The 25,842-nt window shown below is 34.3% G+C and overlaps 1 protein-coding gene across 8 annotated transcripts in view; it reads left to right on the forward strand.

Annotated features, from left to right (window-relative positions):
- Positions 1-25,842, forward strand: part of CFAP299 (cilia and flagella associated protein 299) — a 642,486-nt gene that overhangs the window by 270,795 nt on the left and 345,849 nt on the right. For 5 of the 8 annotated variants that reach the window (XM_017007976.2, XM_047449975.1, NM_001206997.2 and 2 more), the window contains one exon: positions 16,274-16,324. The exons of the other annotated variants lie outside the window; for them this stretch is intronic. In XM_017007976.2, the coding sequence (XP_016863465.1) occupies positions 16,274-16,324 (51 nt within the window). The remainder of the gene's footprint in view (positions 1-16,273; positions 16,325-25,842) is intronic. 8 annotated transcript variants of the gene reach the window in all.

Consider the following 25,842-nt stretch of genomic DNA (forward strand, 5'->3'; position numbering starts at 1 on the left):
TTTATGTACCTTTTTCACATATTAAAATATTAATTAAGAGTTACTAAAATTGCTACAAATTTTGGAGAAATAGAATGCAAAATGGGGTGGGTGCAATAAAAGGTAAAATTAGTGAGTTTACTGATTGCAGTGATGTACATAAGGGTTTTTACCTTTTAAAACATTTGTGTTACTGCAATTATAAAAGCTGCTATTGTACATAACTGAGGAAGCATTTACAGATTGTTCTGGATTTGTATATGTGCAATAAAGGACAAGTATATCCATGAGACTATTTGACCCTTGATGCAAAATGATAGTACTATTTCTTTCTTCAGATCTATAAATTGTAAGAAAAAACTTCTGGCTGCCTAACCTTAACAAGTACCATGGCTTTCATGTTACAAATGATACAAAACAAGCAAAGGAAAAAATAATTTGCTATGTGAAACATATCATTAGAAATGGATAAATTAAATGGCTATTCTGTCAAACAGTTTTACTTCTCAAAGTTAAAAGAGGGCCTCATAAGAAAGTTTTTAATAAAAATCAGTTGTCAGGAAAGATGTTGAGTGTGCTATAATAAATAACAGAGCTAATCTTCAGAGGATTAAAAGGGATATAACCACGATTACTCTTTAAAATTTATGAAAATTATGGCTCAATCTATTTTGCAAAGCATGATGGTGAATTTGGCAGAAAACACTGAAGTAATATGTAACAGTTGTAATTTAGTGTTTTTGCTATTAGGAGAAAATTACGTTGCATAATATTTGAAACATTTTTTCTTCTGATTTTCCAGTTGAATATAATTTAATACTTTAAGAGTTTGGTGTCTATAGCACAGTTTGGATCAGAAACGGAAATTTAGCAATCATGTTTACTTCTCTTTTTCTCCTTAACTCTAAGATGTGGTGAAATAATTCAATGCTCTTTACAACCTAACTTTTGAAACAATATTATGTTTATTTAGATGCTATAGCTAAAAACGGAACACAAGTGAGCCTTCCCATTCCTTTTTCCCACTATTTTGTCTGGGAGAAGAATATATTTTACAGCTGGGTCTTCACAGGGTTGTTCTGTGTATATATTGGCAGGTGCTATTCTTTGGACCAACTGTAGGTGTCTGACTCCGTTGTTGATCTCCATTTACTCATTCTTAGCAGAGGGGAAGATCTAAATCTGAACCAACTGTCTTCATTGCAGTTAAGATAGCAAGAATACCTGTTTGAATTGGCATGGTGGATGACCTTTTATAAATATATACTCTGCTTCAGTTTTTGAGATATGGGAGGAAAGTCTCAGAAGAATCAATTTAACTGACATTCTTTTTCTAGGGATTGCTACTCCTCTTCATATCTGACCAGTATACGGCTTTTGCAGTGTTAACTGTTGCAATGATAATTAAGGTCGTTGTCTTTTATTGAATGCTAGCTTCGTGTTGGCATTTATAACTTGTCAAATCTATGGGCATAAAGTTATTTATAGTATCCCCTTATCATTTTAGTGTCTGTGGGATCTATGGTGATATCCACACTCTCCAGATATTGGTCTTCTCTTTTTTTCCTGAGCAGGCTGGCTAGAGATTTTATCCATCTTCTCAAAGAGCCAGCTATTGGCTTCATTGATTTTTGTCTACTGATTTTGTGTTGTTCATTTTGTTGATGTCTGATGTTTGTTATTTCTTTTATTCTGCTTACTTTGGTTTTTGCTTTTCTTTTTCTAGTTTTTTAGATGAAAGTTTAGGTCATCAATTTGAGACTTTTCTTCTCTTCTAACAGGTGTTTCAGTGCTATACATTTCCCTCTAAGCACCACTTTTGCACCATCAGATATTTTGATAGGTCATGTTTTCATTTTCTTGCAGTCCAAATTTTCTAATCTCCCTTTTAGTTTATTTTAATCATGAGTTATCCAAAAGTTGTTTTTTAGTTGCCAAATATTTGGGATTTTCTAGCTTCTTAAATTTTTCTAGCTTTTCTGAGATTGTTCAGTCTATTAACTTTAAATGCTCATTCCTTTTCTTCCTTTCCTGTAAAGATCTTACTATTTACACATGCTAGGTATATTAGTCCATTTTCGCACTGCTATAAAGAAATATCCAAGACTGGGTAATTTATAAAGGAAATAAGCTTAATTGACTCACAGTTCCACATGGCTCAGGTAGGCCCCAGGAAACTCACAACCATGACAGAAGTGGCAGCAGTCACCTTCTTCACAAGGTGGCAGGAAAGACAGAGAGATTGAAGGTGGAACTTTTCAAACACTTATAAAACCATCAGATCTCATGAGAACTCACTCACTATTATGAGAACAGAATGGGGGAAACTGCCCCCATGATTCAGTTACCTCATGCCAGGGTCCTTCCTCAACACCTGGGGATTACAATTCAAGATGAGATTTGGGTGGGGACACAAAGCCAAACCATATCACTAGGATTGGGCTGAATAGGCATATCATTAGTTTTTTATTTTTCTTTCCTCCTTGCCCTTTCTAGAACATACCTCATGTTAAAAGCATGAATAATCTTGCTTTATATGTCATTTTCATTTTAAAATATCATATACCATTTTATTTTTTTAATCTTTGTATCGCATTCTTATGTGATCCCTGAGAAAACTAGAACTGTTGTTTTGTTTTGTTTTGCTTTGCTTGTTTTAAAATTTTATTCTATTCTCTGAATTACTTCTATGTCTACCAGGATGAATTTTTCTTTCTGTAAGTATTTGTGTCTATCACATCACAAGATTTTTCTCAAATATCTAGTGATTCTTGGTTGTTCATTAACATTTAAGAATAACACGACACAAAAGCTGACTGTTACCTCTTGTGAACCTAGTTAGGGTCAACTAGTTAGTAATCACTGATAGGTTTTGCATTAATCTGTGACTGGAGAGGAGCTTTCCATTAGTCAGAGGCCCTCTCAAATATGGCAGGCCTTGCTTTTTGGCACCAAGTCCCAAGCTATGTGCTCTAATTCTCCCCAGGGACTTAGTTCCATTTCTTTAGTTATTAGTCGCCAGTCCTTTGCCTGGGTGTTTGAGGGGAATGACTATCTGGCTATGGATAATTCTTTTCATATGGGTAGAGGGTATCAACTGAACTCCTTGTTTTAGCCCCACTTAACCCTTCTTACCTTCCATATCTCTGGAATTCCTGAGTCCTGAATTTCTCTAGGGCTCTGCCAAGATTGGTTTCCTTCTTGTATGCAGCCTCCTCCCTCCCAAAGATAGCACAGATATATTTCCCCCTCCCAAAGATAGCACAGATATATTTGTATTTCAAATTCACAATTACATATTCTGATGTTATCTTCTAAAAGTTTTATTGTTTTAGTGTTTACATTTAGATGTATGTTTCACCTGCAATTACCATTCTTCCTCCTTTTGTTCTTCCACAAAGTAAGCCCAGTTATGCCTGCTTCCCTTTTATTCATGATGTTCAACACTGGCTTGTCCAAAATTTGTATGTATCTGTTGCTTTGCAATAGATGCTCTTTGATAGGCCAGTTCTACAGTGACTTGTTGATATAAATGCTCTGCATCTTATTGGATTGGAGTAAAGAGTAATAAGATAAAATGACATCTCATTTAGTTGAGAATTAATATGCTGGAATGAATGTACAGTTTAACAAGTTGCTGTTGTTTGAAGGTTTTCTGTGGACCTAAGAAATGAAAGTGTCTTTGAAAGAATGCTGCATACCACTTTGACATCTGCAATCCAGTATGAAATATTTATTAAGTTATCAAGCTAAGGAAATTATGGACATATTTTCTGGTGTGTTTTCTGAGGTGGTGAAGTTCTCCAAAATACTTGGAAAAATATTTGAGGAGGAGGAACGTTCAGTTCCAAAATACTTTCTCCTTTGGGGAGAGTGGATTTGACAGTGCGTGCAATACATAGCACTCTTATATCTGACCCCTGATGAGGGTTCCCATCATACCTATTAGTCTTTGTGAGACTCTCTTGAATGAAACAGAATTGACCAAATGAAAGATCTTATTTTATATAATTATCTTTTTGGAGTCCAAAGAGGGAAAGAGGGATTGGAGAAGGAGGGAGAGAGGAAGGAAGGGAAGGAGGAAAGCAGAGAGGGACAGATACATGTTTGACACCAATTTCATTATGAACCATAGCATCTTAGAAATGAAAGGAGCAGGGTTTATCTTGTTCAGCCTCTGTCTCATTACGGGAATCCTCCTTTGAGCTTTTCTGACAGATGGCTATGCAGTCTTTGCTTAAATAGTTTAAATATTTTCATTGATAGGCAGCTCATTCCTTTGTAGGTTGTTATTTGCATTTCAGCAAGTTCTAATAATTAGACTGCAACGGGCAAAACCTGCCTTCTTTTAGTTATTGGTCTTTTGGAGCAATATAGAATAATACTGCTGCCCCACTGTGATTTTTTAAGATAGCTTTCACATTTTCTTTTAAATATTTAGGGCTTTTTAAGGTTAAAATTTAAAATTTCTTTAATCACTCTTTATTTAAGCTCTTGGCATTCTGATTTTTTTTTTCTGGATACTCCCTATACAGTGTCTCTTTAGAAACTTCTTTTTAAAATTGAGGCTTAGCAAACATATAAAAGCATGCAGCTGTTAAATGTGCAGGTCCATAAATTACTGCAAAATGAACAAACCATTTGATCACTACCCAGAATAAGAAAAAGAACATTACTGATACCAAATAAGCCTTACGTATGTCCATTTAGTCACAACTCTCCTATTCTCAATGATAATCCTTATTCTGATTTCTAATACCATAGAACAATTTTGTCATTTTTAAATGTTATATAAATAGAACCATATTTTCTGACTTTTTAAACTAAATATTTTGTTTATGAGAACCATCCATGTTGTCGTGTGCAGTTGTGGTATATACTATTTTATTTCTGTGGTTTTCCATTTTATGATACACAATTATTTTTGTTTTACTTTTTATGGACAATGGATTGTCTACAATTTTTGACTGCTATAAATAATGGGGTTATGCTTATACATATCTTTGTGTGCATATATGTATATTGGTTTCTATTGGTTATATACCTACAAGTAAAATTGCTAGGTCATAGGACCTATGTATGTTCAGTTTTGTTTACTAGATAATGCCAAATATTTTCCAAAGTGATTGGGCCGGTATAAATTCGGAGCAACTGTGTATGAGAGTCCCTATTGCTTCATGGTCTTGCTAACATTTAGTATTTTAATTTCTGATTTTTAATATTCTAGTAAGTATATAGCATTATATCATTGTAGTTTAAATTTGCATTTATATGATTGTTAATGAGGGTCATCCATGTGTTTATTGGTCATTTTAATATCCTTTTCTGAAAAGCGTCTATTCACATTTCTTATCTATTTTTCTACTGTATCTTTTGTCTTTTTCTTATGTAGGCAATTTGTACATATTCTGGATAAACATATGTGCTGTGAATATATTCTCCCTCTCTGTAGCTTACCTTTTTGCTTTCTTAATGAAAGTTCCAAATTTTAACGTGGTCCAATTTATTAATCTTTTCCTTTATTGCTAGAGATGTTTCTACGCTGTTTAAGATATCTTTGCTATCTCAAAGTTACAATTATATATTCCTATGTTATAGTCTAGAAGTTTTATTGTTTTTATGTTTACACTTAGATGTATATTTTACCTACAATTACTTTTTTTTTTAAAGATGGAGTATTGCTCTGTCACCCAGGCTGGAGTGCAGTGTGCAATCTCAGCTCACTACAACCTCCTGCTTCCAGGTTCAGGCAATTCTCCTGCCTCAGCCTCTTGAGTAGCTGAGATTACAGGCATGTGCCACCACTCCTGGCTAATTTTTGTATTTTTAGTGGATACTGGGTTTTGCCATGTTGGCCATGCTTATCTTGAACTCCTGGCCTCAAGTGACCTGCCTGCCTCGGCCTCCCAAAGTACTGGGATTATAGGCATGAGCCGCCGTACCCGTTCTGCAATTACTATTTTGCATATAGTGTGAAGTTACATTGAGATACCCATTGCACATCCTAGCAAAGATGTCAAGCAGGCATAAATATAAAAATCTGGATTTCAAATTGCAGGTCTGAGTTGAAGTTAAAAGTTTAGAAGTTTTCAGTATACAAATGCCACTATGAGATTAGATGTTATGCTAAAGAGTTTAGCATAGATAAACAAGAAGCCTGAGGACAGAGCCTAGGACACTCCAACGTATCATCCCCAAATAGACTTAGTTCTGTGCTACAGGCTAATGTACAAAACAGTGTACTAGTATGGAACACAGTGTGCTATAGATTCCTATTACCTGAATACTACTTTTAGAAATGTACCTACAATTGTATTGATTTATTACATTGGCTTGTGCCAGTCATGTCACAATATAAACTTCAATGTTATAGCAAACCAAAATGTGAGATATTTAAATATGAATTGTTATTAAGCCATGCCCTTCATTAACTACTACTAGAATTGATTAGTTTGAATATCAAAACAGCAATTAACATGTTTTCTTGAGCATTTAATGGTGTTTTCATGTTATTCAGATTATTTGTTCAAGCCTATCAGGGTATTTTGGAATCCTAAATAATTAATCCAAAATGTTAGCTCTTTCTCCTTTATTCAGGCATTCAACATAGGCAGATATGATAAGAAAGTGACTAATAGCAAATACCAGATACTATAGGATTATATCCTAAAATCTCTGACTGGTATGCTAGAGGCCTTCCTCCTCTAGGTGACATTGCTCCTAACTGCAAATCGTGTTTAAGCAAAGCTATTTAGTTGTACCTAACATACTGTTTCCTCAGATTTTCAAGCAAAGAAATCGTAAGAGAATACACCTTTCTCTGAATCCCCACTTCTTGTTATATCGAGGTAGGGTCCTAATGCTAGAAACTTGACCACATTCTTAGAGTAAATCACTTCCAGTATAGAGTTACTTCACCTCTGTGAAAAGGAATACCCAAAAGATGGTATGCGGCATGCCTAAATGTCATACTTTGGCCTCTAGCCACCTCCAACTATGTGAAAGTAAAAGCTTTATGCAAAATAGATTTTATTTGGCCAAATCCAAGGAGAAAGTCTTTAAGTATGCATTTATTTCAGTTGCAGCATTTACAAAGTGTCTGTTTTATGCAGTGCACTGTTCTATATATCATTAAGACATACAATGAATTATGGATCTCTGTCCTCCCACCTGATATCTAATCTCTACGTCTGTCCTTTACACTGCTGTTGAATCCACAGCTCTATAATCGTCTTCATTTTCTGCATAATTTGTTTATGAAATTACATCCTGTGATAGCACTCTTTCTTAAGACATCTCCATACGTTGTTGCAAGGTGCTTTTCTAACTCGTTATTAGCAGTGATGCTAGTTGGTCTTTACAGTTATGTGCCTAACATTCATATCCTGTGAACTATCCTTAATTCTCTACTGTTTTATATAGGTTTGGCAATGACAGATAAGAATCCTCAGTCTTATAGAGGTAAAGTGATGTAGTTAGTGACCCAGTCGGTCTAGAAAATAGTTTTTAAAAATCTTCTGTCCTATTATTTTTTTTTACTAGTCCACACAGTGTAACTTCAAAATTGCAGAGGTATTGAATTTAAGGACCCATATTAACAATGAGTACAAATTCAAAACTCTCTTAGGTTACCTCATGATTGCATTGTTACAAATTTCACATAAAATGAGGGCCTGCTTCTCCTGATCTTGTAGGATACTACTGTTACACCCACAGGGAATCTTTAAGGTCTGAAACTTGTGCTTAAGTTGTAAGGGATCATTTATTTTTGAAATATTTACAGTAATGCTTTTGTAAAGCATGCGACCAAATCATAATATGGGCCTTTAGCAATGATGCAAAGAAGGTTGTTGATTATCAATGGGAAACTTAGATGTTATATACTTGAAATTGGGATACAAAAACAAACAAAAAGCTGAAATTTATCAGATCTCAAAGGGAAAAATTAGTAATTCATGCATAATAAACAAGGAAAATATTTTTTAAAGTCAGGGTGTCCGAATGCCTCTGAGATCAGTTTAACATATATGTTCTACACTTATAAATAGCAGATTACCAAAATTCAAGCTGACCTTGGCCACTGTATGAGGGTGATATTTTTGAAAGAATGAGTTAGACTGAAACAGTTTCTGCAATATATTAGGCGCAAATATGCTTTCTTTCCATGTTAGGCATGCAGAACTTTTTCCCACCTGTTGACTTTTCCTTAAACAAACATATTATCTGATATAACTAGTCCAAAGAAAATTTTCTCTTCCTCTACGTGAATGAACTCCCCTTTTACCCTTTTGCTAAATCCTGGAGTTCTGATGTAGTTCAGGATGTTATATTACATCCATGTCACTTTTTGGAATCACTTCAATGGTATAGTGCCTTGAATTATTTTCAAACATTTAACCAGCTTCTGTTTAGGTCTGTTTTCTCTTTTGACAGTGTACGTTTATTTTCCAAATACAAATATAATACAGATTGGACTCCCTGTGCTGCTGTGAGCTTTTAAATTAAAAACAAGCTTTGTCTTACAGTCTTTAATAATTGTAAAAAGTGGCAAAATTAAGAATGTTTCATCAGTTTGTACTGTAGCTATCATGACAATTATTGCATACTGTGGTTATTTGCTTTCTTCTCACTATTGAAAAGGTCAGTTTTTTGTTGTTGTTGTTGTTGTTTCATGGGAATAAACAACTCCTGAGGAATGGTTCTGTGTATCCAAAATACAAAGCAAGTTTCTGGGACATGGATTTACACTTATTCTGTGGTAAAGATAGTAGGCTATAAGTTAAATTTTAAATTCATAGTTGAATTCTGATACTTACTAGTTGAACCACTTTGGAAAAAGGCTTTGCCCTTTCTATGCCTTAGTTTCATCAGTTGTAGAAAGAGGGTAACTATTGTATCCACCTGATGGATTATAGAATGATTTAAATGAGATGGAGTAAGTGATGTGCTTCATATGGTGTCTGTATTTATTGAATGCTTAACAAATATTAGTTGTTATTAAGACTCATATATGAGAGTGTTATATAAAGCTGCAACCTTCCCAGATGGTTAGAGAGAAGAATCAATAGGAAAAAACTTTAAAAGTTTTATAGCTTTTAGTTAGCAGATAATGAAATTGAGACTCAAAGAGGTGATAACTTATTATACACATCTTTGTTATCTAAGATTAATTGGAGAAGTTTAGTTTTTAATCTCACTATTTTATCATGTGACATTATTTAAAGTAGAAAATTTGTGCTCCTATAACTTAGCTTTGCCTAAATTTTGAGTGGATCTGACTTAGATACTTCTTAAAATTTTTCATGTGATAAATTTTCCTTGACTACACATACCATATTTTGTGCATTTTGAGATGTAAGTCATATGAATAAATAAATGCTGTTAGAGTTTGAGGGCATTATTTACTATGACTTCATTATGCCCCACCTACCTTTGCAATTAGTTGAGAGAAAATTCTAAAATCAGATAGAATGAAAAAATAATATTAACTCTTAAACAGATAAATCTATACTGGAATGATGGCTTAGTGTGAAAGCAAATGGGCTTGCCATTGTTGTATTTTTTCCCCTTTTCTAGACTTTGGAACAGTCAGACTAAAAGAAAGTTTGTTGTGTATAGTGGACAATACCTAGGGTCACCACGCCACCTCACACTCATGGCTATTGCTTGATCCGGGTGAGATAAGCATGGATCACGTTCTCATTCATTTCCTCAGGGAAGAGTAAGGGACAGAACAATGTGAGTAAAAATTGCAGCACTATTCACAATAGCAAAGACATGTAATCAACCTAAATGTCAGTCAATGATAGACTGGATAAAGAAAATGTGGTATATATACACCATTGAATACTGTGCATCCACAAAAAGAATGAAATCATGTCCTTTGTTGAAGACCATTATTGTTAGAAAACTAATGCAGGAACAGAAGACCAAATACTGCATGTTCTCACTTATAAGCGGGAGCTAAATGATGAGAACACATGGATGCTTAGAGGGGAACAACACATACTGGGGTCTATCACAGAGTGGAGGGTAAGAAGAGTGAGAGGATCAGGAAAAATTAACTAATGGGTACTAGGCTAAATACCTGAGTGATGAAATAATCTGTATAACAAATGCCCATGACACAAATTTACCTACGTAATAAACCTGGACATCCACCCCTGAACTTAAAATAAAAGTTAAAAAAAAAAATTCAACAGGTTCCAAATAAATGTAAATGAAGGAAGGCAGTTAAGAAATGCTAGATATGAGCTTTTTAATGCCAGGCTACTTGTCAAGAATGCTTGCAATCACTTCAGTTGTACAGGCTTATCCTCGTGGCTCTAACATAAGAAATAACATAATAAAATTAATTTAAAAAAGTATATACATGGAAAGGAAGAGTCCAAAATATGTATAATGGAAAACGATGTAATTTTTTCCAAAGTTCAAGAGAACTAATTGAACAATCATTAACACTACTAATAAAGTTCTGAAAGGAGACCAAATAATAGATCTCTGCCTTATACCAGAGAAGAATTCTAGCATAGAAATTAAATATAGAAATTAACCAACCATTAATATAGGTTGATGAGAAACAAGTCTGGTTGGTCCTGGTGGCTAATCTTTCTTTCCTTCCTTGGTTGCTTAGTAGAGAGCTGGCTCAACAAATCTATTAGTTTAACAGAAGGACAGCCTCTGGGGCCCAGAGGCTTCCACTTTCAAACAAGGCCATCCTGTGAGAAAAAGTCTGCTCCCGTTGCAGATCGCAAAGCTTCTCCTGCCCTTTGGCCTTATAAATACATGAGGCATTACTGACTCAAGGCCCTTCTCTGCTGGAACACTGGCCATGTGCACACAGACCTGGGCACTGGGTGATGGAGGTGAAGAATGGGGATAGGGTGTGCTCTATTGTTTCTCTGCTTCTCAGTTTTCTCTTGATGCCCCCCATGCTGTATTTGCACTATGAGGTGCTGGCGGTGTGTGCCCATGACCCCATACTCCCAAAAGTATAAGCAAATATTTATCTGCTTTTAGGATAAAGAAGATCTCTAAGCATGACACCAAACCCCAAATGTCAAAAGCAAGGAATTATGGATTTGACTAAAAAAGACTTTGGCAAGTTAAAAGTCCCTGTAAGCAAAATGAGAATATGAAAGGCCAAATGTGAAAACTATGTTAGCATATTTTACATATTAATTTTAAAAAGACATACTATAACATATTTCTTAACAGAAAAATAAGCAGAAGGATGAATGGATGTGAAAATGCCCAAATGTCCAGCAATCACTTTATAAATACATGGTGCAAAATATCTAAACTAAATTAAAACAATAATTAGGTACAATTTTTGCTTCTCAATATAATACATATACATACATATATGTACATATATGCCTACACATATATACATGCACACACGCACAAACATATGTGTACATTATAATAGCTATCGCTGAGTGCTGAGAGTCAGAGATGATCCCATGATCACATTGTACTATTAGCAGGAGCATTTTAGCAATATGTGACAATAGGTAGAATAATATGTATATCCTTTAGCCACTTATAAAAGTTGTTTCAAAGGAAATATTTATGAATGTGTTTAAGGACTTATGTATGAAAATATTTGTTCAGCACATTGTTTTTTAATTTAGAAAAAATTGATAGTGACCTCAATTCCAACAGCAATCAATTGCTGAAGTAATGCATTATTCATCTATATGATAGAATACTGTACAAATATTAATAAGGTTGAAAATACATAATGGCTTTAACATATTGTCAACAAGTAATTCAAGAATAAAAAACTCTATCTCTCTTGGTATCTCCATTTAGGAAAGCAGGAAAAACAATCTCTAGAATTATTTCTGAGTGGTAGAATAATGGGCCCTTATTTGTTTTTCTGCATTCTCGCTCTTTAAAATAAATTAATACAACATGTTACCTCATGTGGTAGCAAAGACAAAGTGTTCACTTAAAAAATACTTGAATATAAAATTACATATTAGACTGAAATTAAGAGATTTTAAACCCAGAATTTTTACTTGTTGAAACCATTATCCTTACCTTTAGGAGACTTCATTCATTCAGGAGCTTGGCCTAGGGAAGGGAGGACCCAAATCAAAAGAAAACTTTAAAGCCTTATAACAGAAACACTGTCTTAAAAGAACTCACATTTCAAAAGCTGGATTTCGGGGAGAGGAAATATCTTTTGATTGTCAAAAGCTAAATGCCTAAGGGACTCAGGGCATATATAGAAAATAATAAAGTAAGAGAAAATGCAAGCTGATGCACTTTTTTTTCTGCCTAATGATAAAAAAAAAGTTTGGCTAGCTGTCAGTAAGATAATTGGAAGTGTATGTGACTAAAAGTTAGGCACTGGTGGGTCCCTGGGCATCAGTCCAGTGCTCCGCTCTCTAGGTACATCTTGATGTCTTGACAGAATTGATGTCTTGACACAAGCTGACAATTGAAACTCAAGAGGTATCTTCACCTAGCTTTCAAAGTGTTACCTGGATTGCAAGCCCCAGTGAAATGCTTTGTGTCCAGAATGGTGCCTGGATATTGGCAGTGAATACATGAGGTGCCTCGGCAGGTGGCCTGACAGCAGACCCTTAAAGTCAAGTTCATTTAGGCAAACATGAAAAGGTTTACAGTTTATTACTTCGAGGACACAATGAACTGGATAGAACTGGCAACTGGAAAGCAAAGTGAGATGCTTACATTTCAAGGTGAATGCAGGGACAACAATCAAAAAACGAAGTATAAATTTTACAAGAGTATGAATTGCACGTCACATCAGAAACGCAGGATGGATAGATATTAATGACTTTGTATCAGACACTTGTCCCCAGAGGACAATATAATACCAGAAAAAAAAAAAACATGTAATCCTAGGAAAGGATAAGGGAGAGGAGAATTCTGAACTGCCCAAATATTTTCCTCAGAGTTTTTGAGTTTGAGCTGGAAAAAAAGTAACAGTTTATTTTACATTGGCAAGATGATATGTTTTGCTACCAGTGAAAATGGGGGCTCACAAGGTAAGTTCAGTTACAGAGAAAAATTTTCAAAGCTACATTTTTCATGCCTGAGTCATATAAAATGCATACCTCAAAAGAGAAATGGTTATTTGTAATTCTACTTGCAGTCATGCTGAAATAATTTATTCATATTTTAGAGAGTGAGAGGTAGATGATTTTCATTGAAGAAATACTTCTGGTGCAGATAAATTTTCTTTTGAACAACATTTAGTTTTCAGCCAAATGCTTAATGAACTTATCTATGACTTTATTTTCCAAAGGTAAAAAGTGGCCTGATGGGAGGGGAAGGAAAATACCAAAATGATTTTTCTAAAGTGTTTTCATAATAATCACTTTTTCTTAAACATAAAAAGACACTAATACATTTTACTTTAAATACAGACTGGAAAACTGAAAACTAGATTATATAGCCAAGAGGAAATGGCATTACAAAATGCTCTTACTGACTTTACTACATCACCTTTTAAATAAAAGAAATAGAAGCAAATGTCAGGAATGTGTTTTCAAGAATGAGATTTTGCTTGTGGTATTTCATTCTGGCTCTAAATAACCTGCAAATAAAATGAAAAGAAGGCATGCACTTGTTTTTATAAGAATAAAATATTTGTATGTCTCCTATTTAATAACATTGTCATGGTAGCTTTTGTTCTTTATTTTTCTTTAAATTTTCCTATTGGGAAATAATTTCAAACTATAGGAAAGATACAAGAATAATACAAAGAATACCTGTATATGCTTTAGTCAGATTTACCTAGTATTGCCTATTATTTTTATTAACACTTAAGTTTTTTTTTTAACAGTCTGAGTTTTTTAACAAAAGTTAGTCATTCTGCATTGTTTTCTATTGGTTTAGAGGCAGCATATCTGTCTCCTACAGCTTTTGGGGTAGGACAGCTTCTGCCTGACCATGAAAGTCCTCTTAGGGCAATAGGGACCAGCTTGCCTTTCTTTTGCATTCCTATGAGAGGCCACATCACTTGCTGTCTGAAGAGTCAATGAAGCTCTTAACTATTGTAGCTGATGAATACATTTTTAAAATTAATAAAGGTGTGGGCAAACAAGTCAGTGGTGGTATGTATTGTAAAAGTGAAAACCTCATTCTCCAATCATATGTCCCTTTCTCCAAGAGTCTCTTATAAGTCTTTTCAGAAATACTCTGAGTATAGTATGTACAAAGGTATATAGCCATAGCTAGGCTGGGCGTGGTGGCTCACGCTTGTAATCCCAGTGCTTTGGGAGGCCAAGGCGGGTGGATCACAAGGTCAGGAGTTCGAAACCAGCCTAGCCAACATGGTGAAACCCCGTCTCTACTAAAAATATAAAAAATTAGCTGGGATGGTGGCAGGCGCCTGTAATCCCAGCTACTCGGGGGGCTGAGGCAGGAGAATCGCTTGAACCTGGGAAGCAGAGGTTGCAGTGTGCCAAGACCCTGCCATTGCACTCCAGCCTGGGCAACAGAGCGAGAATCTGTTTTTTTAAAAAAAAGATATGTAGCCATAGCTACAGTAATAGGTATATAGATACAAAGAGATGTACATTTGTTTCTTAAAGATATAAACACATAACTCCTTTTCCATATTAGAAATAATGGTATTAGACTCTACACGTGCTCTTCCATGGCTTGCTCTTTTCATATAACAACATACCTGAATTAGTTTGTGATATAAGTTCATACAAATGTGCTTCAGTCTTTTTAAAGGTTGAATAATATTTCATTGTATGGGTATGCCATAATTTTTAAATCTACACTCTAAATTATATGCTTTTTAAAAAAAAATTTCACGGATAAAAAAACTAAGATTTTTATTTTTCTTTTGTGAGTGATTTCCTGTAAGATAAATTTCCAGCAGGCTACTTTTGCATTTAAATTGGGATAATAACTTTGATATAATCATCATTTGACTTTTCTTGTCTTTGATGCATTCAGTAATGTTTGCAGAAGGAAGGAAGGGAGAGAGGAAGGAAGAAGAAAAGAAAGTCAGGTAGGCTAGTTTTTAGGGAACAGTGGTTCCTTACATGAGTGAAAGAGGACAGGGACCTTCTAGTCAAGATTATGATCAAATTTTCTTACCAATTTTCTATTGTGAACATTTTATGTCTTTCAGAGGGCAGCTGGAGTATTACTTTCTCAGGAAGAGTATAGCAAATAGAATATTAAATAATATTTTTATTGTATGGTCCTGTGATACCCTAAACTTCTTCATCGCACCTGAAATTTTTCTCGGTATCTATCTCCTTAGATAGACAAGAAACAATAAGTACTATAGAGTCTTGTTGGTTCATGTATTCTCTACTTCATAAGGATATCGAGATGCTCTGCCTTTCTTAAAAGCAAAAAGTAGAGGGTGGAGAAACAGAGAAAGTGGAAGAGACATCAGTGAGACAGAGAGAGACCATGAGAGAGAGAAAGTAAGAAAAAGAACAAGGAATGGAGAAGGGAGGAAATGAGGGAGGCAAGAAGGTGATGACGCCAGGGGTTAGAGCTGTAAACATTAGAGAATTAGGGAAAAAATGAATTGTAAGACAGAAAAAAAAGAGAAAACACCAAGATATAAGAATTCAACATTTTCCTACTTCAGAAACCAGAGAAACATTGTGTTATTTTCCATAAAGTCAAAGAAGTCGACAGTGATCGCTCAGCTTCTGGCTGCAGACTGAAAGCTATGTGTGTTGGAAGGGCATGATTCAGAATAAAAAGGATTGTTTCGAGGGCTTGTATTATAATTTAAGTTGTGCAAGGAGAACTGGGAAATGTGTCACTGCAAAGGTGAAATACTTGCTTTCCATTTCTTAATGCTGTGGGAATAGAAATGTAATTATGGTCATGAATCTTTCATAGTGGGGCCAACTTGGAAATTACATTGAACTGGGAGCCTATGTATTGTAACAATGTGAAGGTTACATGAAGTAGTTTTGCCTAATTTTATTTTAGATTAGAATGTAGTGTAGTGGAGACATTTAGAAAGCATTTCGTAGCCAAAGTTTCTTTTTCAATTTTACTACTTTACAATTTTATATACAAATATATGTGTGTGTATATATACACACATACTTATCTGTACAGTTATAATATATGGGGATATTCATGTTAGAGATATGAGCTATCTAATTTTTTTTTACCATTCACAAGTGTTGTCGAGACTAAGTAATTAGGAAATAGATAACTGATTCCAACAGTACCAGAGGGTGGGGTTCAAGCTATACTTTAGATAGGAGATTTGTTAACATGTGGAATACACCTCAGTTGGATTTCCCCTTTTAATTTGTTTAAGCTAAATCAACAGGAGACTGATGCTGCTCATATCTTGAAGAAGCAACTGGCAGTAAGTACTGCTTATGGAAAAGTTTCCTTTACAAGTTAGAAAAACATTTTGGCTTCATCCTACATATATACTCCACTCCAAGGGCTATTGCTACTGTTTTCCGAATTACTCACCAGCTTGATGAATGACAGTCACAAGTAGTGCTTTTATTGCAATGTACAGATGTTGATATTTTCCAGAATTTTTTTAGGGTAAATGGCTCTCATTTTGAAAAAAAGCGCATTGTAGATTTAATGAAGGAACTTAGGTTTTCACTTAAAAAATCCATACAACTCTTATATTTTAAAATCTTATTTTTTAAAGAAAGTTTGTTTAAAGAACCTGTTGTCTTTGGCATTGATAGAAAGCAGATGTTACCAATGGGATGAAGCCAGGAGGTTTAATGAGTAATAATAGAGTTAGAAACAGAATAATCATGTTAAGGGTCAGAAATGGGTTAGAATTCTTGTGTAAAACTGGGTAAAGCTTACACGATGCATGTGTGTGTGTGTGTGTGTGTGTGTGTGTATGTGCACAGAGAAAGAGGGGATGATTAAAAGGAGAAGAATAAAGAAAATGTTAGATGAAAACATTTCATGATAAAATACAATTCTAAAAATAACTTGAGATTGCCTACATTTAACTTTATTTTATTGGGTATTTTATATTCACATAGTGTTTGAGACTGTTAAGTCAAGGTTATAACTCAATATAAAGGAATGTATGGATGAATTTTTTGGAAAAGTTTCCAAGGGCTTTAGTATACATATATTTGCTACTTGAGTACTTTCCTGTGTTCAGAAATGTAAAATGCTTTAAAAAAATAAGTATATGTTGGGTTAAATAATGTGACTTTGTAAACAGGAATATTGCCTTGTGTGTAATTACACTAGCAAAACTTCCAGTTAAGTCAAAATAATATTCCCAGTTATTAGGAGCTTCTTTCTGTGATATTATTTAGTTATGCTAAAGAATCTTGATAACTATGTCATGCTGTTCCTACAAATATTTCCAAGGTAGGAAACTATGCAGTGAGAGAAGGAAGCTATTTGGTAGAAGAAGGATATATTTTTTGAAATGTTTCAAGGTTGGTTTATAGGGTTTATTTATTAAAGTGTAAAGGTTATTTAGATATGTCTCTTTATGTTGGATTTTTATCAACAGAATATTTATTTAATATCATATAATTTTAAGTAGTCCAGAGTAATCAACGTTAATGTTATTTTTTATTTCTTGTTTATATTTATAAAAGGCCAAAGTAATAATGGAACATATGATTTTTTTCATGGCACAATTAATGTGTACCACTTTTCCTATTTTTTGTTTATTTAACATTTGTGGAATTTCTTAAAATTGCTATTTTATGTGTAACTGTTTTGGTAGTTCTCTAGTAATACATAGTTTGTCTATATTTGCATGTTTATATGCTATATTCTATAAGTTTTTGTGCTCATATTCCTGTGCCTACTAATGAATTTTGTCCAGGAAAATAATAATTGTGTTTGAATAGTCTATAAATGACCCTCAAAATGATAGAGTGAAAAGAAGCTAAAAATTCTAGACTATGTTTGAACCAACCAAATGCACTTTAATAGGCCTATCCTTATCCAGATTATATCTGGGCATAATTTTACCCACAGGATGTTTTTAAAGACTTTTAAAAAGGCTGAATAATGCTTATTAGTGTCTATAGATTTGCAGAGAATTTGCTTACTTATTTTATTTTTATGCTTTATAAGGTAGTTCTAAGTAATTTATTAATTGAAGAGATTCTGGTTCCTCCTTGTGTCTCTTCTTTCTGATCACTTTAATAATCCTTTTAATTTGATAAATGCTCTAAAAAAAATGACACTAGTGAAGTGTGGACAGAAATGAGAGTCTGCTCTCTGTTCTTAGAAGACAGCACACTGATTTCCCTGGAGTGAATATTGCTGAACCCAGCAGCACTTCCAGTGTCCCCCAACCCCTAACCTGGACTTAGTACTGAAGTGGTAAAAATATTCACATTTAAGAAAGCAAGAGCAAAATCTAACAAAACGGTATGCAAATTTAGTACCTACAGAGAAATAGCCACTTCTCATTTTTGTCTCCCATTCTATCTTCTGTCTTTCCTAGGTCACTGTCACATTCTTTCTCAGGTTATAGTAATTCATACTTTATCTTCTCTATTTTACAACCTTAATTTTCTGAAATTCAGTTTCTTAGCTCAGCACCTTAAAAATAATAGTACAGAATGTATATTAGTTTAGTTAGTGCCATTTAAAGAACTTTTTAAAAAAAGTTTTCATCAAAATGGACCTAAAGCTAAAAAGTCCTTTGGGACATTATTTCTGATACCATAAAATCTACAAAGTTCCTTTCTAGATGCAAACCCATCGATTCTATTCAATGATAATAATAAAGGCTCTTTTATACCCAGATGGCTATCTCAAATCTTGTTATCAGCCCTCCAACTTAGTTGTAGGAGGGTTTCATCAGTCATGGTTATATTGCTCTGGGTGGCTGATAACCATTGTGCTATTATTAGTTGGGTGATGAGCTGGTCACCCTGTAAGTTTCTTTAAGTTGTTCTATCAGCCCTCCAAAAGTAAGTGCAAATAAACGGGTTCCAAACCCCTTTAGAGCACACTGTAAATCTTTGTAACTTCATGGCCAAATGGTAAACCGCAGGACCACATGACTCAATTCCCTTGAGACAGTCATGTTATTCCTGTCAGACTTTTCTTCCCTCATTCATCAGCTGGAAGCTTTCATCTCCTTTTAAAGTCATGGCCTTTCAAGTAGGGGTGAAATTACACCTGTCAGTAATAAATGTTCTCAGTGCTCTCCATCATTCTGTCTTTTCACAAAAGATATTAAAAGGAAGCATAGCTTATTCCACATTTTAACACCATGTTTTTTTCTTTCTCCACTTTTAGATACCTTCCTGTTATGTAATTGTTGAGCAAAGTTTTAAAATATTCACTAAATCAGGGGACATGTGGGAATGCTGGGCAAATTAGCTTCCATGTGAACTATACATTATATTCAATAACTACATTAAACTTATTTGACAGAATGATTTAACTGTATACACAATCTACAACGGCAATCTAAATGTGCCCTTTAGCACACTTGTTCTGTTTATTTTTTCTAAGTTACACTCTGATAACTTTGTGGTTGCCCATAATACCATACAGCAGGTGCACCTGTGTAGCCACCATTTTATTTACATAGAGAACAAAGTTAATGTTTTATCAAATCCAGACCACACCTGCATTGGGACACTTGTAGGAAGCAGGGTTCAAATCAAAATTGCAATTTGCTTTTAGCCTGATATTTGAACTCCACTGAGCAAACTCTTTTGAGTTCTCTTGGACGTTTTGAGGATTCGGCTCTTAACTCCCTGTTAACTGAAGGATGAAATGGGAGCTGGAAGACTGAATATGTTACCTGAAAACCCTGTCACTCACTATTGTAGGTCTTGACTCAAGAATAACTGAATTGTGTCATTACAGCCTACACCATACACTGTCCCAAGCAGAGAATTCTTCAAGTACAAGTGTATTTGGCTTGATATACCTGATTATGAGGGCAAATATTTTTGTAAATTTTCTAATGCTGAACCAGATTAATGAATAAATGCTGTGTGAAATTCACAAATCGTCGATGATGGTCATGCTCTAAAGCTTTGTTGTTTTGTTTTATTTTATCCCTTATAGGGACAGTATGTGCCATTTTTTTTTTGTAGATTAGTGATACTGCAAAGAATCCATACAAACACATAACCTCCCACAATTATTAGCAAACCATCGTGTTTTATTTTTTCCAGAACACAAAGGAAGTATATAATTTCTCTATTTTTATACCCCATTTCTTACATTCTGTCTTTTCTTATCTCCTTCCTCTTCAGGAGAAAAATAAAATAGTAAACTGAAAAACAGACCCTAAAACTCAGTGAGAGGGATAGATTGCCTCAATTTGTCACTAAACTAAAAAAAATTATCTCAAAGCACAATGCTGATTTAATTTCTCTGGAAATGATTACACATTTATCATTAGAGTTTTTTTCTATCAAATGGGTTCTGACATATTATTAGAGTTTGAGACAAAATCTGTAGTATCTATTTCAAGCCTAATCAACTATTAACATCATTTGCAGAAACATCCCATCCATATATAGGGCTGAAAATGAATTACTATTATTTAACATTATGTTTTGTGAAATCTCTGTAACTGTATAAAATGATTTGAGAAGGTGAATTGTCCCTATTTGTTTACCCAAACTATCCTTTTATTAAATAATTTTCTGTGGTTTAATTTAAACTATTTCAATAATACTCACACCTTAAATAGAGATTGAACTTAACACCCTCAACTCTGAATTAAGTACATAGTTTGAAATTAATTAAGTAGCTCAGAATGCCTTTGAACTCTGAATTAGGTACATAGTTTTAAATTAATTAAGTAGTTCAAACCCTAATATTGTGGCCTTGGGCACTCACTTTCATTTAGCACGTGGTTCTTAACAAGTTTGATTGTCTGTTTTAGTCACCTTCTAAAGATAAAAAACATTAAGCTGAAAGAACCAAGTATAGCAGTGAGAATTGCAAGACTAACAGCCTAGGACAGAAAGGAAAAGTAATGATGAAGTGCTGGACATGTTATGAGGCTCTTTCATATGCATTTACACATTTGATTCCCCATAATCCTACATGAGATATGCAACTTATTTCACAAATAAGTAAGCAAGGCATGGGGAGCTATGCAATTTCCCCAAGGCTAGTAAGTGGCAGATTTGAGATATTAACTCAAGATATTTTATCTTAACTCAGTGGTAAATGTCATAAGTCACCTATACCAGTTTAAATATTTTCTAGTATATTTGGTTTGTGCAGGAAGTAGAAAATTCATTTTAGAAAGAGTCCATAGAAATGCTAAAATATACAGAGCTTTGACACCTGAAGTTTTTGGTGTCACATCTTTTGTGGAACCTCTCATTTTCTAAGGATAATTAATACATTATTTTACTGAATGATTTAACTCTAAAACTGATGTAGTACGTATGTTAATTCAAATAGATTTAAATCATTCAACTCAATTTATTATAAACAAAAATTACTTTATTTCTTTCATTATCTCTTCAGATCTAGGTTACATGCATAATGTCAATTAAGACAAATAGAAACACTTTTTCCTCCCTGAACCTATCTCCTTCACCAAAATTTCAGCTGACTTTTATGTTTTATTGCTATGCATGCATACCACATAGCAGTGTTCTACAAAATGCAGTCCATCTGTCACTTGCATCAGAATCACCTATGTTGATTTTGTAGAAAGCTGACCAGTGAATTAGGTCATCTGGTATTCAGGCTTAGGCTCATTAAAGTTTGAAACCCACTGCCTTTCAGTTTAACATCATTTCCCTGTGCACTTTAAGATGGTCCTGCTCTACAACTGACTGTATTTCACAATTCATTTGTACTTGCAAAGACTAATGCTTGACCAAAACACTGTTAGCTGAGACAAAAATGATGGAGAAAACATACATCTCTCTTCAGTTTATAACTCTGATAACTCTTCGCTATTCCTTATACCTTTGCTACAGAAAGGCAGGCAGGCACATGTTTGATTCATTTTCTCCAGTTTATTTAATGTATTATTATTGTTTTCCAATTAGTATAAAGTTGGGTTTTGTTATTTGGAACTGTAGTTTGTGAGCACCTGCTTTGTCTGTTAAGGACACTTCCAGTTTTGTATTCCCCTTTTCATTTCTGTATACATAACAAGTCACCTATTTTCAAGTGATATTTACTCCAACAGAATGTTGTCAGTTTGCACTGAAATAATGCTATTTTTTTCTATCCTAATGGAAACAGTTTTGATTAAAATTAACGGCTACTTAGAATATTTTAAGTCTTCAAGGAGTGATTCAAAACAAATAGAAAATATGTTCCTGAAAGTGTCCTAAGAGGTGAATTTGTGTGACTAATAATGACCTTGATCCCCATAGCTGTATATTTAATGGAGATGACAAACAGTCCATACTAGTGGTGAGGCACTAACTTTAAACTAAGGCACTTCTATTGAAAAGGAGCTCTTGATCTAATAGGCATCACAAATACTGTCGTTAGAGAAGATGGCTCGGATTTGATTTGCAAGGCGGGAAAGCACCAAGAGCAGGCACTCTGCGGGGGCAGCATGTGCGGCGGGTGTAGTCAGAGGCCTGCCTGCCTCCTAAAAGGTTGGGAGCAAAGTTAATGTAGTTTGGTTGACAGAGAAATTAGAAGACTTGGGACAATGCTTTTTCATTCCTTTCCCTCTTTTGTTTCTTAAGTTGACAGATTAAGTACTAACAATTGCTTGCAATATGGCTCTTTCTGAATGTGGTTACAAGTCTTGAATTTCAATGAATTAATCTCATTTATTAAACATTTTGTAAAAACAATGCTTACACATGTTGTTTAAATGTTGTTTGAAGTTGAAATGTTTTGAAATGGTATCTGAACAGCAGAGAAAAACACAATTTTAATGTCAACATACAAGAGACACCTTTGGTTGCATTTACACCAAAACATTGTAAATTATTATATTTAATTATAGCTCCTGGTTTCCCATTTTTTCACAGATACACTTAAATGTTTATCAGCTAATTATATGTTAAATACCATGTGATATTATGGATTTCCTCAGTGGTAACATGTCTTAAAACTTCATTCATATTTTAATGATGTATTTTATTTGAAAATTTCTATATTTTATTACATTAACTCTTTATGGCCCTCTATGCAGCCACTAACTTTTGACTAATATTGAGAACTACAGCTGCTAATATTTACTAGTCTGAGCAAATTAGTTTAGTAGACTTTAGGAACTCTGATTTGAGCTTAGGGAACTGCAAACAATCAGAGTGCAGAATTTAGAAATCGCCGGCTATCTACTGGTCAAATATTGTTCATTGGCTAGGTAAACAGTGATATGGAAGTTAACTTGTACAAGTGCAAAGTAAATAACAATGTATTTACTTTTTCTAATATTTGTGTCTATGTATAAGAAATGGGTTGTTGGAAGTCATACTTATTTACAAAGTAAAGCTTTAAAAATATTTTAATACTTTATTGTAGTGTATCTACTTTGGATTAGAAAGCTTACATCATCGATTCACTCTAAGGTAGGCTTGCAGGCATCTTTCTTTCTTTTTTTTTTTCAGAAGCAAGGTCTTGCTTTGTCACCCAGGCTGGAGTTCAGTGGCATGATCATAGCTCACTGCAGCCTCAAACTCCTCCTGGGTTCAAGTGATCCTCCTTTACTCAGCCTTCCAAGTAGCTGGGATCCCAGGTGTGAACCACCATGCCCTGCTTAGGCATACATCTTGATACTTTTAGCAAGATAGTTAAGAAGTAATTTATAAATTACTTCTAAATAGGATCCTTCCCTATTTCATTCAGCAACCTCTGCAAGCCCTTTCAGAGAAATTGAGGCACTTCTATTAAAAGTAACCACATTATTGATTGTGGCCCAAGAGTGAAATGGGCTTCTGGCCCTCAATACCTCCTTCAAAGTATTATACCTTGCAGGGGCAGTCACTCTCACCTCCGTTCATTCCTTCAGCTTTTAGGAATAGGTAATTGACCCTACTTTCCTATATTAATACTCAGTTACTAACTCACTCTAAGAAAACAGAACTCTCTCCTCTCAACTGGTCAATATAACCTCAGATGTCTGAGCATTAACTTCACCTAAAAATTTAACAAATATTACATTTAATTGTATCACAGGCTGTTTCCATGTAAGTTTTTGCTTCTGTCTTCCCAACTCAACTGTAAAGTTTCACCTGTGTATCTATGGTGCCTAGGACTGGAAGCAGGCCCATGTGACTCTTCCTTGTGATCCCAGGCCTTCTGTTTGCTCCAAAATATGCAAAATAGATAATTTTTGAAGCTGAACTTATTGGCTGTGTATGCTAATACTTCATATAAAAGACTTCAAAAGAACTATAAAGTTTTGTATATACATATAAACTTTTATATACACGCGTGTACTTTTATATGTGTAATTTTTATACATATAAGTATATATTATGTATTATAAATATGCATATATACATAAATAATACCCCCAAACTGAAAGGGCTGTAGAGATCATCTAGTCCCAACTTTATTTTACAGATGAAAAAAAACAAACTGAGTGAGGAAAAGTGACTTTCCCAAGTTCCCAATGCAAGTTAGTAGCTAAGTTGGGGCAGCCAGGACTCCTGACACTCAGACAATGCTCGTCTCACTTCATTACGTGCTTTCCTGGGGGGCCCTAAGCATGTATATTTAGATTAACCCTCATTATACTTCTCGGAGCTGTATGATGTACTGATGGTCCCAACATACTAGCCAGATAAAAGATGCAAATATTTTCTTGAACAAGTATACACAATCCTAATGAGAAATGAGCAGAAAATAGAACATCTATATAGGGGTATAATTAGACATGCATATGTACACATACATATGTACATTTTATACATAATATATTTATTTTAAGAATTCTAAATATTGAATGTTTAATAAATTAACAATGTTAGCAAAGATGCTGAGATGAATTGCTAATGGAAGAATACCTCAACATAACATTTTTGAGAAGTTATCTATCTCTATACAACTAAAATGAATATAACTATAGATCCAGCAATTCCAACTCTTAAAACTATCTACGGAAATAGGATTTTAAAGATATATGAATGAGAGTACTAGACCACTATTTATAGTGTGAAAAAAGAAAAAGAAAATGAAGAAAAGACAGGTGGTTCATCATTAAAGGAATGGTAATTTAAAAAAGTAATGAAATTGTGAATATTAGATAGGCCCTTGGAGATGTAACAGGAGATTAGTTCTGAATGGGAAAATTTGGGAGTGTTTCTATTTTAGTGGCCATGTTGTTGCTAAGAAACATGTCATATTTACCTGGAGTTGCTCAAAATTGTGTTAGATGTTATCATTAATTGAAAAAGAGCCTGGCTTACCTTGAGCTTGACCACCAGCCCCAGCTTCCTGACTGTGAGATGCCCCTATACCCTGCCATCAACTTAGCTTTTTGTTCTTTGCAGAGCAAGAGAATGAATGACTTGCTATGAACTCACCAAATGATCAGTCTGGTTCATGGTACAACCTTGTCCACTTCCCTAGGATCATTTCAGATGGATCAAGAGGTCTGTAGTCTAGAGGGGAATGTTCTTCTCAAATCCTATTATTAACACTTCACAATAGAAAAAAAATTACTTCAAATTACTTCCATTAAGGGTGGCAGACATAAATTCCCACTTAATGTTAAAAGGCATTCCTACATAAAAGTGCCCATCATAATGATAACCAAAACTATGGAAATGAATCCATTTAATAGGGAAGGGCATAGATGAAAGAACTAAGGGATAACCAATGTGCCTTAAAGCATATTGAAACTAGAGGGTAAGCATTTTGATATGTTTTTTCTTGTGTGGTCAAAACATTAACAGAGGAAGGAGCCATTTGAAATTGTCTCACTGCATTTCCTGGCCCACCTGAGTAATTACA

The sequence above is a fragment of the Homo sapiens genome, chromosome 4 (genome assembly GCF_000001405.40).
Source record: "Homo sapiens chromosome 4, GRCh38.p14 Primary Assembly".
In the NCBI taxonomy this organism is placed as follows: domain Eukaryota; kingdom Metazoa; phylum Chordata; class Mammalia; order Primates; family Hominidae; genus Homo; species Homo sapiens.